The sequence below is a fragment of the Homo sapiens genome, chromosome 5 (assembly GCF_000001405.40).
Source record: "Homo sapiens chromosome 5, GRCh38.p14 Primary Assembly".
Lineage (NCBI taxonomy): Eukaryota > Metazoa > Chordata > Mammalia > Primates > Hominidae > Homo > Homo sapiens.
The window spans coordinates 77,640,220-77,653,423 of NC_000005.10; the positions used below are offsets into that span (position 1 = coordinate 77,640,220).

Below are 13,204 nucleotides of genomic sequence, written 5' to 3' on the forward strand. Positions count from 1 at the left end.
GTGTGTGTGTGTGTGTGTGTGTGTGTGTGTGTGTGTCCTCAGCTGTATGTGTGACAGGGACCGAGCAAGGAGACAAAGGAGGCGGCAAAGCGAACTCTCGGGCAGTTTTGTTTCCTCCTTCCCTCCTGCAGCCCGTTCGCCTCCTCTCCTGCACACACACGTGCGCGCGCACACATATGCACACACGTGTGAATGCAGGGTATTGGCCACACCAGTTTCTTCTGAGCTGCGGAGACCGCTTCCCGGGAAGCTCCGGGCCGGACTGGGTTTCAGCGGCTGCTGCAGCTGCTACCAACGCGGCCTATGTGGGACTGGGCGCCGGGGTCGTGGACTCAGGCTCGCGGCGTGTCTGGGAGCCGCTAGGGTTTTTGGCAAGCGGCCGCAGCCCTTCTGAGAAACGCTTTGCCTGGGAGGAGAATTCCGAGACCTAAAGCAAACAAAGTCTCCCCAATAAAAGCTTTCTTTGCCCCCAAACAAAACCTCAAATCTAGAAGCTAGAGCGCTGGGAGCGCACAGCAAAAGGAGGCCAGACAGCAGCCCAGGGAGGGGCGGCGTGAGCTCAGGACGGTGACTCGGGAGTACGCACCGGCCCGCGCACGTCCAGGGACTCGCAGGAGGTTTCTGCCCACCTGGGTGGGGCTTGCAGGGTGTCCACACCGGAACGCAGGGTCAGAAGTGGGGGGAAAGTGGCTAAGGAAGAGACAGGGAGACCTGGCTCCAGAACCCTGCTCCCAGAAATAGGCAGGTCCGCCAGGCCGCACAGCCTGGCTCCACACGCTGTCTGGAGGGAGGGAGAAGGGGCCGCGACCTGGGGAGACAAGGATAAGGGCGCGGGGCCGCGCGTCTCCACGTGCGTGCACACAAGCGCTAGTGTCCCCATCCCACAGTCGCCCCCGGAACGGCGCCGGCTGTGCAGCGATCTCCCACACGCACTCGCTCGTATATTCTGTTTTGTTGTATCTTTCAGGTCGATAAATGAATGTGTAATAGTTAATGTGAAGACACATCAGAGTAATAACAATGGGACGAAATCAAAGGATTATCCATCTCTGTTAGTAACCGCTGAATAACAATGTTGCGGCATGATTGATAGCCCGCTTCATTTTATGACTTTTCTATTGGTCTTGATTTTTATAGCAGTATAAACAAACTAAATCATTTCTTGCAAGACTTCAGAGCATAAGCATCTCGGGGGGGGGAAGGGAGAAAGGAAAGAAAAAAAAAGGGAAATCTGAGAGTGGGAAGGGGGCGGTGTGGGGCGTCGAGGCGGGGAGGGCGCAGGCTGGAGTTGGAGCCAGGTGCCCGCCGCCAGCAGGCAGAGCGAGAAAAACGACAATAGCCTGGATGTAAAAAGCTCCCCCCTGCTCCCGGTTCCCTCTCGGTAGCTCGTTTTGGCCAATGTCTGAATCCACCTGGGTAGCGCCTGATATGTATTTACCAGAGTTTTATTCCCCGTCATCTTCCCACGTTCCTGGGGCAGCCGGGAAAGTGCCGGTCAGGCCCATTGCTGTTGATAATTTAAGGCATTTCCCACATGATCATGGGAACTGAAGTCCCTAACAAGGCGAAGCTTTAGCGCAATGGCCCCCAAATCTTCGGAATGACAAGAATGTCTTCAGAAATCACTTCAAAGCAAAGTAAAAGGATTTTCTATGACGGATCCAGTGATTTTTCCTCAATAAATAGGTTTTAGATTGTTACACACACGTAGAAGTGGAACAAAGGGAACTACCAGAAAATATATTGGTTGCCCCTAATAAAATTTATTTAGACAGTTTACTTCTCATAAAAAATAGAGATTGAATTTTGTACAAGATCCTGCCAAGGGACGATGCACAGGGAAATCATTTTTTTCTTTCTCCTTTTCCCTCCTTCTCTTTTCTAACGAAGCACAAAGAGCGTTCACAGGCCAGGGAATCGGCTCCTGACTCCAGCCGCCCTGCGCGCCCAGACAGAGCCAGAGAACTCTGTAGCTGCGAGGAAAGTCGGCTTGCTGGGAGAATTAAAAAAAAAAAAAACAAAACAAAAAACAAAACAAAAAAAACTTGATGACTGATAATGTAAATTACAAGCACAGCAACTATCAAATCAGTGTCTTTACTCCTGCTTTGCCGTCCAGTTCCAGATCAAGACTTAGAAATGTGTGTCTAGACCGGGAGGTGGGGTGGGATGGGGCCCCCGGGCAGCTGGTGCCTTCCAGAGGAATTTGTGCTGATTGTATTTGTAATTCTGATTGTCTCTCTAATCGTATTTCTGCGTGCATTGTGAATCCTTTGTAGACACAGAAACAGACAGAATAAAAATATATACCGGGTGTTGTGGGAAGAATTGGGTAGTATGCCCAGAGCCCTAATTGCTTTTCCACTTACAAAAACCTCGGAGGTTTATTAAATGTAACTTTCGGCTGCTTGAGTTGTTTGTAAACTGCTCTCTTTTCTTTGCAGACAGTGGGCTGAAATATGGCGCGTTATTATTCACATTCCTGCTATTAAATGCTGAATTGTAACATTGTTCCCTTTAATGAGGAGCTCCTCCCTCAATAATTAACGATCTCACATTTTCCTATTTTCTTGCCTGATGAAAAGAATCAATTTTAATTCGTGGTAAATTACAGCCATGCTTTTGGGTATTATTTGCTTACAGAAAACAAATCAAGTGACTTGCACACTCCTGTTTACTTTTCCAGATAGGCAATAATCCAAACGCAATGGCAAATCAGATCGTGTTCCTCAGGCCTACCTAAGAAATGGAAAAGAATTAAAGGGTGGGGACACATACTAGAAGAAAATAAGGACGCTCTCAAGTCCACTGTGCTCGGAACAATGATGACCACTTTTCCCGCACATCCTGCCCTGGGTACCAGAACCTACACTCCCCCTCAGCCTCCACTCTCCCCACCTGACCCTGTCCCAGACTGGGGTTGGTGGTCTGCATCTGGCCACTCTGGAGTTTGAGACTGCTTAGTGTATGGCTTATTTTCGGGGAGTCATTTTGAGGGTGGGATGACTAGTAGGAAGGAGACCTGGGAGGGCGGCCAAGTGTCTGTAAAGGGGTAAAAGGCATTTCCATGCTTCTCTGCATAAAATAACTCTCTTGAGGTTTCCAGCAATAGAGACCACAGCCAAAGAGGCTTCTCTTCTGAGTGCCCCTGCCCGGCCACTGTGAAAGGGTCCTCCGCTCGCCTTCGGGAGAGGGCTCTGGAGGGCAAAGTGAAGCGTTTTTAACCCTTCTCAAACAGGCCTGGGCCCAGCCCAAATGTGCATCTTCCTGGCCTCCCAGGGCTGGGAGCGCAGGGACTCCGGGAGGCTCTCAGCCAGCTGTTCGATTGATGTCGCTGAGGGGGCCCTCTGGCCGCAACAATTCTGCCTACAGGACCCAGGATCCCCAGCCTCGGAGCCAAATGCCAAGCAACGTTCAGGATCCACACTTGGGGCTTTCTTTCTGTTTTTTAAACGCCGGTAGCAGGCTGCGTGTGCATGACACGTGTACTTGTGTGTGCTTGTGCGAGCAGTGCGTGTTCCTTGCCTGTTCACTCACACGGAGGGGGCATGCCAGGCGCTGCGGAGGGGCAGAAACCTGCCCCAAAGAGTCTCATTTCCTATCCCACCCAGAAGCCTTTCGCAATACACGAGCTCGACATATACACTTTTTTCTTTTCTGCAGTAAACAGTTTCCCACACATTCGAGTTTGCAAACTTCAACCAGACAGTCCACCCGCCTGACTTTTCGTGGGTGCAAGGGCCGGTCCCTTGCTCGTTTTTTCTCCCATCTTTCCCTTCTAACTACTGGCGCTCACGGCCCTCCACACAGAAAGCTCGACACAAAACAATGACGGATTAGTATCCGCCCCCTGACTGCGTATCTTGCTTCTCTTTTTTTTTTTTTTTTTTTTTTTTGCCTTTCGCCCCGTAATTTTAATGGCCCCAATTAGCCACACGGAATATAATAAGTGACATGGAGATTTTGTTTGCATGTGTTAAGTTCGTTGCTTTTCTGATTTCTATTTACTCAGGATAAATAATCATATATCAGTTATTCAGTTAGGTGACAAGGCTAGTAATTGGAATAAAAAGAAAAACATCTCATCCTTATCTCTTTCTATAACTAGATATAGCGCTAATAAGACTGCATCAATCTTATCTAGCAAATAAATAAAATAGACAAACAAACAAATTCGCCTCCAACAAGTTAATGCGGTGTATCTGAGTGGAAAGTAGATATTTTCACGCATTCTGGAGATGAGGAGTGACTTTTAATAAAATCACAAGAAAAACAAATGTAATTCTGTAAGCCATTTCTTCGAGCCGCCTGCGCTCGCCCACTCCCCGCTCGCTCCCCGCCCGGCTCCTACGTCCCAATCCTTTTCTTTTCGGGCGCAATTAGTGCCAGGTTTGCAACAGACGCCGGGACTCGGCCGCTCCAGCGACTCTACGCTTCGGGGGGTGGGGTGGAGGAGGGAGTTGCATCTATGGGTGAAGAGCCTTTCTCAAATAGGATTTCATCTCCCTATCTTTTCCTCCTTGCATCTCCTACCCTTTCTCTTCCCTTTCCCTCTTCCCTTTCTCTCTCTTTCCCCCTTCTCTTTATGCTCTCTTCCTTTTCTCTGTTTGCTCCTTTTCCTCCTTCCTCCTTTCTCTTTTTCTCCCTTTCCGTCCTCCACTCCTTCCTCTCATTCTCTTTTCCATCGGTCCTCCCATCCGTCTCTCTTTCCCCTTTTCGCTCCTTTCCCTTTCTCTCTCCCCTTTTTCTCCTTCCCTCCCTCTCTTCTGTCTTCTCCCTTCCTCCCCCTTTTTTTTCTCCCCCGCTTCCCAGACCCTCGTCCCCTCCCCGCAACCCGAGTGCGGCTAATTCCGGGCGTCTATATTCACTCAATTAGAGAAATCTACAGAGAAGATCGATCTTCCATCTGCAGACATGCCAGCTTAACAAATTAGATTCTTGTTTCGTGCAGGTGATTTGGTGACAGTTGGGGAATTAGAAGTAATAAGTTGTTGTGTTTGAGCCCGGGCCCCCGCCCCCCGCCCGCGCCCCTCCCCGCCCGGGGGCCCCTCGGCCGCGCCCGCCGCCCGGGCACCCCCTACCGCACCCCCCAGCCGGCCCGCGCCGCCGCCGCCGTCGCCGCATCCCCCGCCGTAATTAGTGCTGCTGCCCTCCATGTGGGCTCGATTAAACCGTGATTTAGCCGAAAGAAATATAATTATGGCTGCAAATAAAATAATCAGCATTGAAGAGCGATTTCCTTAATGAGATGGAGCGGTTGCACGTCACGGAGTAAAGGGGTCTCATTAAGAGGTGGTAATGAGGCTTGGGTGGATGGTGCAGTTACAAAATAGCCCAACTCCTCTGCAGGCCGGGCCCGTCCGCCCGAAGTGGCCGCCGCGTCGCCTTCCAGCGGTCCGGAGGTGCCGCGGTCCCAGAGGGGACTCGGGCCCGCCCCGCCCGGCCCCCAGGGGGCGCAGCGCCCGCAGCGCGGCCTCCTCCCGGCGTCTCCCGCGCCGTCGGGCCGGGCGGGGGACACAAGCCGCCGCAGCGGCTAGGGGGCCCCGCCAGCCCGGCCCGCTCCGCCTCGGCTGGGCGGCCGGGTTGGCACAAGCAACTGCCAGGCCCCCGAACACTGGAGAAGCCGGCCCGAGGGAGGGGCCCTTGCCTGGGGCGGGTGCCGAGGGTCAGTCCAGGAAACTTCTGGAACAGGTGGAAGTCCTCCCGGGTAGATGTGAGCTCCATCGGGAAAAGGGTGTCACAAAAACAGGTGCTCAGAGGCAGGGGTGCCACCGCGGCACCCCAGAACCCCGGGTCAGCTCGCGCGGACACCGCGTCTGGGAGTCCTGGCGTGGAAGGGCCTCGGGGGTTCTCATTCTCTCCAAGTCTCTTTCCACATTTTATTAAAGTACTGAAAAGGCAACAACTCTGTTTTTACCATGTCTTTTTTTTAAGTCTAAAATAAATTATTCCAAAGGGTCTTAAACGGGTACCTCTGATCTTTCTGGTTTATTAGGCCAAGGACGACCTATGAATTTCTTCTCTGCATCACAGTGTATACATGTGCATGCTCCCAATGTCCAGAGGTGGTGATGCCTCAGTATTTATTTCTAATTAGGTTGTTAGCCCTCTCCTTGGCTCAGTTTCATCATTTAGACCCATTCTTAATGGGACAAGGAAATTTACGTTATTTACACAAGGTGACCAATGAGGCAGCTGACACACTTTCCTTTATTCATCCAACCAACATTTGCTGAGCATCTACTATATGTTGGGCACTGAGGGGGTGAGAGATGAACAGAGAGACAGATGCTTGGCTTAGTAGAGCTCACAATGGCCTGCATTGAATTTTTCCACTACAGTAGACTGTGGCCATCAGGATTTGTACCTGTAGGAGGCAAAGATAACCCAGGAAGAAGCTCAGTTTGTTTTGGTGGGCTCTCACCCTCTCTTACCTTCTCAGTCTGTATTTTCTTCTCACCCAGAAACCTGAGATCTCAAGGAAGAAAGTAATTTGAATTAACTTTCTTAGGTGTTAAGAGTTAATGTAATATCCTTCACGGAATGTTCCCATTTTTGTAAAAGGACTGCAAGGAGAGGCACATTGCCTAGATAAGTGACTTTTCCATATCTGCCTAGTGGTGGTGGGAGACTTGAGACAGAAGGATTTGGGGGTTACTGTGATCCAAATACTGGTTCCCTAATCAGCCTCACCAGTGCTGATGGAAACTCTTGCATATTTTTAAGAAATGTTTTTGGGGGGTGTGAAAGCTATGGACCACCTCCCATTAAAATGCATTTATTTACCAAAAACTTTAGGGGGTTCAAAACCCCTCTTGAGCTGCCTATGGGCCCCAGGTTATAAAAGAGTGATATTTGGGTGAAAATTTATGATTATCATCTTCAGAGAAAAAATGCAAATCTCTAGAGGAGTTCTACCAATAAGTCTGAATGTAGGGAACAGCTGGGTGAAGAATCAAAAAGAAATTGTCAAACCAGTAAGTTCCAAGAAAACAACTGGCTAGAAGATGCATGCAGTCTAACAAATTTATAACAATTTCATATCTTCCATCTGACCAAAATATAGGTTGATATTAATCCAAACCTATATTACATGTTTTCATGTTGCAGAGAATTGTCAGGAAACCTGGTTTGTTGGTGGGCAGCTCTTTCTCCTAGAGGCAGGCCCTGGGCAGTCGGCACTCTGGCTGGAGAGATCAGCCTCATACAATGGTGGGTCATAAATAAACAGACCTAACCCTGGGTGGAGGTGCAAGTGAATGTGATTAAAATTTACACGCTGGGACCACAGAGAGTGAAGGGTGATTAAAGTCTGTCTTAAGCCTACTAAAGCCCCCAAATCCAGACCTTAAGCTAATTCTTTCATTCACTCCCCAAAGGCATTTCACACATTAGGGCCTGAAAGCCAGTAACAGGGCTGCCTTCTCCACCCTCCTGCACTTTCCTAAGTTGCTGACATATGGAACCAAAGAGCCTTTTCTGTGTAGGAGATAGCTCTTTCCCAACTGCTTTAGAACAAGGATTTACTCTACCCCCCCTTAATTTTTGAGAGGTCTCCAAGTCACCCATTAAAAAGGAGATGGACTTTTACATATATTTTCCCAGCAGAATTTTTTTTCACACTCTAGGAAGCAGCTGTGGTAGGGAAGGGAATATGTATTAGTTAGGATACACAGGCTGCTGTAACAGAGACCCCAAATTAGAGTGGCTTAGAACATATAGGATTTTATTTATCTCTCACATAACAGCCCATGAAAAACATGCCAAGACCAATATGGCAGGAAGCTCTAAAAGACTGGGAACCTAGCCTTCTTCTTCCGTGTGTGTGTGTGTGTGTGTGTGTGTGTGTGAGAGAGAGAGAGAGAGAGAGAGACAGTGGCTATTCATAGGCATGATCATAGTGTACTGCAGCCTTGGGCTGAAATGATCCTCCTGCCTCAGTCTCTCCAGTAGCTTGGAAAACAGGCTTGGCCACCATGCCCAGCCCAGCCTTCTTTATTGTTCTCTGTCTTCCTTAACATATTCTTCCATCTTGCAGCCTAAGATGGCTGCTCCAGCTCCTGCCATCACCTCTGCATGTTGGGTAGCTGGAAACGGAGATGAAGAGGAAGGCTCATTCCTTTCTTTTAAGGGCATGGCTCAAAAATGCTTCTATTACTTCCTCTCACAATGCATGGAACAGAGTTTAGTCACATGGCCATACCTACCTAAATAGAAATTGAGTGCTATAGTCTTTACCTGAGCTGGTTAAAACATGAGAGAGAAGGCTCCATGGTTTTCCTGCTCTGGGAGGGGACAAAAATGCTATCTTCAATATGGCCCTAATTTATGACTTGACCCCATCTTCAGTCTTCTCTAATACTTGTACTGAAAAAAAAAATGGTGTGTGTTTGCCAGAGGAGGGATGGAAGGTGGAAAGTGGAGGCAGAGGGGCCAGGTAGTAGCCTAATGTAATAATCCAAGGGGAAAATGATGGCTGCTTGGACCAGAATGAGAGCAGTGGAGGAGGTGATAAGTGGTTGGAATCTAGAAGTATTTCCTAGGAAGCCTAGGATGTGCTTCTAGATGTGGGGTATGAGAAAGAAGAGCCGAGGATAATGCCACTCATTGATTATCTATTCATCCATTGACTGTTTTTTTTTTTAGAGACAGGGGTCTCGCTATGTTGCCCAGGCTAGCCTTGAGCTCCTGAGTACGTGGGATCCTTCCACCTCAGTGTCCTGAGTAGCCAGGATTGCAGTTGCTCACCACCACACCTGGCTCTAAATTGTTATTGAGCACTGGCTGTGAGCAAGGCACTGAGCTAGGGCCTGTGGATACAATGGGTATAGTCTTGCTTTTATAATTGACAAAAATAGCCAGCAGAGAAGTAAACACAAGTATGATGTATGTAATAAAAAGCAAATCCCAGAGGCTTTGAGATAATAACTCAGAGGAAATGAACCTAGTCTAGGGGTCTGGGAGGTGACGTCTAAGCTGAGACATGAAGTGTGCATAGGGAGTGGTCAGGAAATTGAGGTGAGCTGGGGCCATAAGGGGAAACATGTTCCTGTAGAGGAATTCGCTTTAAGCCCTACTTCCCTCCATGCCTTCATGTTGTCTACTTGGGATAGAATGAAACCCTGGACTTAGTTTATGCTTAGTTCATGCTATCTCTCTGAAGAGAAAATGCTTTTTGAAGTTCAATTCAAGTTAATTAAATTCAATCAACATTTGTAGGTTCTGGGCCAGGTTCCCAGCCCAAAGACTAAATAGCCCATGGTACCATTTAACTGAGAGAAGATAATAAAATTGAAATCATTGAATTTTAGGAAAGGCAGAGTTGTTCTCTATGAGGTCAAGCTAAAACTCAAAGGATTTCAACATAGGAAGATGTGCTGTGGTGTGACATGATCAAAATCTATACAATTCAGGATGGCAACAAAAATCTATACAATTCAGTATGGTGACGAGAGTGTAAATATAGATTAGGAGACAACCTACAACCTTCGTTTAAAGCATTTAAAAAGTCCTTTATACATGGGAAATTAAACGTGAGGAATGCATTCCCTCCAAGGGGTGGTAAAATTACTATATTTGTTGGGATGAGAGTTCAGTGGCTATAAAAGAAACAACAGCAGCAGTAACAAAAACCAACAGTGGCTTAAACAAGATAGAAGTTTCTCTCTCACTTAATAGTCTAAAGGCAAGAACTCCAGGACTGTCATGGTTGGTCTATGGTGTCAGCGACCCCGCCTCTTCTATCTTGTTCCTATCTGCTAGGATGTCCCCCTTGTCCATGTTATCCAGGATGGCTCACCACCATGTCATATTCTAGCCAGCAGGAAGAGAAAGGAGAAAGACAAGAGTATCCTTCTTCCTTTGAAAGCACAACCCTAAAGATGCACACATCACTTCTCAATCCCATTGTCAAGAACTTGGTCAAATGACCACACCCAGCTACAGGGAAGGTTGGGAAATCGTATTTTTACACTAGATATTCGTATTCCATGTGAGAACAGAGAGTTATATTAGTGAGAGACAGAAAGAGAGAACAGACACTAGAGTCTCTAGCAGTCTTTGTGGACTAAGGGGTTCTTTTTCTCACTCAGAACTTCCAAAGTTAGTGCTTGAAAGAAAGTTTTCAGGAGTGTGTGTGTGGAGGTACAAGGGTTGGCAGACACCCCTGAATCAGAGGCCTCACCTCCTTCTTTGGATTCTTTCACGTGACTTCCTGCTGGCACCCAGGTGCTGCTGCCCCCTTAAATATTTTGGCTGAAGTAAAGATCAAAACCTTTCCCTGGGCTTCCCTTAGCCAAGACTGCATGGAGTTTTCAAAGAGTTTAATATAGATAGATGTAGAGAAGACAAAGAAGAGCATAAACATAGAAAATACAAGAAACGTGTAACCTTCCCAGCTTACAAAGTCCAAGATCTCTATCAGCTCTTCCTTTGTCTAGCCTGGAAGGTTAAGCTCAACTTCTCCAGCACCTTGACCTCAGCCTTCATTCCCTGGGTCTTAGCTTGTCTCTGCATGGAGGATGATTGCTTTAATATTCACCTTCCAGGAACAACCTGCAGTAGTAGTTCAGGTGAGGTATTGTCCTTATACAGGATGAGAAGGAGCTGCCTGCCCTGGACCTTGGCTTTAAACAGCCCCATTTGGACCATCTCCAGCTGCAGCCCGTCAAGAGCCTGCTCTTCCCCCTGTAGACTACCTGGGGCCCCAGAATTCCTTGCCCAACAGTCCTGCTCCTGCTTCCAGAACTTCTGTGGGTCTCTCCCACATCTGCCCATCTGTCATGTGCACACTCCCAGGCCCAAGAGGCAGCTGCTTGTGATGAGATGTGGGGGGAGCTTGGACAACTGGGCTGGGCTGACCACTTGTGCATGTGAGAGGCCTCTTGCTGCCCTGGATGCAGCTGGTGGGCAGGAAGAGAAGGTGCAAACCTGGAGCTAGGGGCTGGGACTCCAAACATTATAAATTTGAACTTGAACTTCTAGGTTGTTATGAAAATATAGTTGTTAAGGTAAGAAGACAGGACATATTTCACTGAACAGTTTGTTAGCTTAATTTATAGTTTTTAAATATTTGGACATATAGTATGTGGGCCTCTGTTTGTACTCTTGCTCCAGGTCCTGCATATGTTAGGGTAGGCTTGGGCTGTCTTGCCACATATGTTGTTATCTTTAAAAGTTACAGCATGTGAGATTCCTCTTCTGCATCCTACTCTTCTAATTGCCAACGTGCAGCCAAGTCAGATTATGAAGGAAGGCCCTCCCTGCTCAGATGGAAGGCTGCTACCAGTATGCACACACACTAGCCTTTTGTTTTTTCTCGGACTTGCCATTCTCATTCCAACCTCTGGCCATGGTACCTTCTGCTTTGTTCCTTCTTCCTGAAGGATACATCTCTGGACTTTCACATGATTACAGCTCTCTCTTTATTCAGGTCTCTGTAAAATTTTATCTCTGTAGAGATGCCCTTCCTGACATCTCCTCTCCAAACTTAAAAGAGTCCCCCAAAAGAGTCAAGTAGATCCATAATTCGTCATCCTTTATCTTGCTTTATTTTTTCAGCACAGCACTCATCACTATCTGAAAAAGTGTGCTATGTGCTTATTTGTTTATTACCTCTTTCCCTGAGCAGAATGCAAGCCCTGTAATGGCTGAACCTTGGTCTTCATATCTTAGTACCCCTAGAGCCTTGTACAGTTTCTGATGCATAATAATGTGCAAAAAAATTTTGTTGAATGAATAAAAGGAAGAATGAATGAATGATCCAGTTGTTCAGTAGCAGTTGGGAATCAGATTTCCCAATTCAAACTAATCTTAGTGAGCAATCAGAATTATGAAGAAGAGTTTATTATTATTATTGAAATTTATGCTACCCATTCAGGATGGGGTCAACCTAGCCAATTCCATGTGTGTAGAGCAGTCCAGAATGAGAGTGGACAACTGCCTGACGATGCAATGTTAAAACGGCCCTGTTGGTAAAGAGCCCAGTGTGACTTTTGCAAATGAATGTAGGCTCTCCCTCTCCAGCTCTGTGCTCAAGGCTAAGCCCTGGAAAGTGAGCCCAATGCAGAGACTGCCTTGTTAGTCATTGGTGGTGAGGGACTCCATTTTTGGACAGGAGACTGGGCTGAAATTTGATGCACATAAAATAGAGGATGCTGAAGTGAAGGGTCATATACCATCCATGCCAGAAGAGTCCTTGGGAATTATTGCCTAAAATTTGCATCTTTAAAGATGAGACACAGAGGTCCCAGGGGACCAAGGTGGCACGACAACTAATAGAAATCGAAAGTGGGGCTTGGGTCTCCCAACCCCCAGAACTGTTTTCACCCTCCTGGATTAACCGGATTAGTGTCATAGAAACTGCCAGGATTAGTATGAAATTTCTATCAAACACTAAGCGCAGTGACACTTATTAGAAGAATCCCTACTAGCAGAGCTTCCCTAAATGATCTGTAAAATGGGGATAATCATAGTACCTGCCTCCTGAGGTTGAGGTGAATCTTCCTGTGGAGCACTTACAGTGCTGTGTCAATGATAGCTGCTGCTATGTTTCTTATTAACCCTTCCCATTCCCACCCATTCATGGACACATTTCCCATACCCTTGCTGAGAAGTTGTATTTGGCTACAGTTATTATGGAAACAAAAGGATTGGCCCCTGGAGCCCTGTTCTAACCCAGAATAGACGTATGGGGCGGTCCACAGAGCATAAAGTTACAACCAGTCCTGATGCCAATGGTCCTACAAGCAGCTCCCACAAGTCTGTAAGTGGCCAAGCAGCATGAGCACCCTACTATCCTGGGCAGGTGCCCGGAAACCTCGGAGGTGCTACTTGGCATGAAGCAACTGCTCCTTGCAGGGCAGGGATGTGCCACAGCTGCAGCCCTTTGAGATTCTCACAGTCCCGTTTTCAATTTGGAGCCTAGAGCTGAAGAGATAAATTGAGAATATTGATCAGCTCATCAGCTCACAATTAAGATGTTCTTTTTCCCCCTTCCGAAACTTGGTGTATGGCTGTGGTAAAGGGAGGAATGGCTGTCCCTCATAGCGACTGCACACAGGCTCTCAAGCCACTTCCAGGTTACCACACCATAATATTTTTGTTGTCATTCATTCTTATCTATCCACAGCCATCAAATATCACCTCCTTTCATGAGGGGATGGTGCAAAGTGGGCAGACCTTCAAGTGAGAAAGAAACAGGGAT

The 13,204-nt window shown here is 47.5% G+C and overlaps 3 annotated features.

The window, feature by feature from the left end:
• Window positions 4,792–5,352: an enhancer, noted in NCBI's record as "VISTA enhancer hs262". NCBI's record gives its function as "enhancer in: forebrain[9/9]" and the evidence as "EXISTENCE:transgenic organism evidence [ECO:0001131][PMID:17130149]".
• Window positions 5,207–5,256: an enhancer, noted in NCBI's record as "active region_22702". NCBI's record gives its function as "activates an Ori minimal core promoter by ATAC-STARR-seq in GM12878 lymphoblastoid cells {active_cell/tissue: GM12878}" and the evidence as "EXISTENCE:reporter gene assay evidence [ECO:0000049][PMID:35858748]".
• Window positions 5,367–5,586: a silencer, noted in NCBI's record as "silent region_16113". NCBI's record gives its function as "represses an Ori minimal core promoter by ATAC-STARR-seq in GM12878 lymphoblastoid cells {active_cell/tissue: GM12878}" and the evidence as "EXISTENCE:reporter gene assay evidence [ECO:0000049][PMID:35858748]".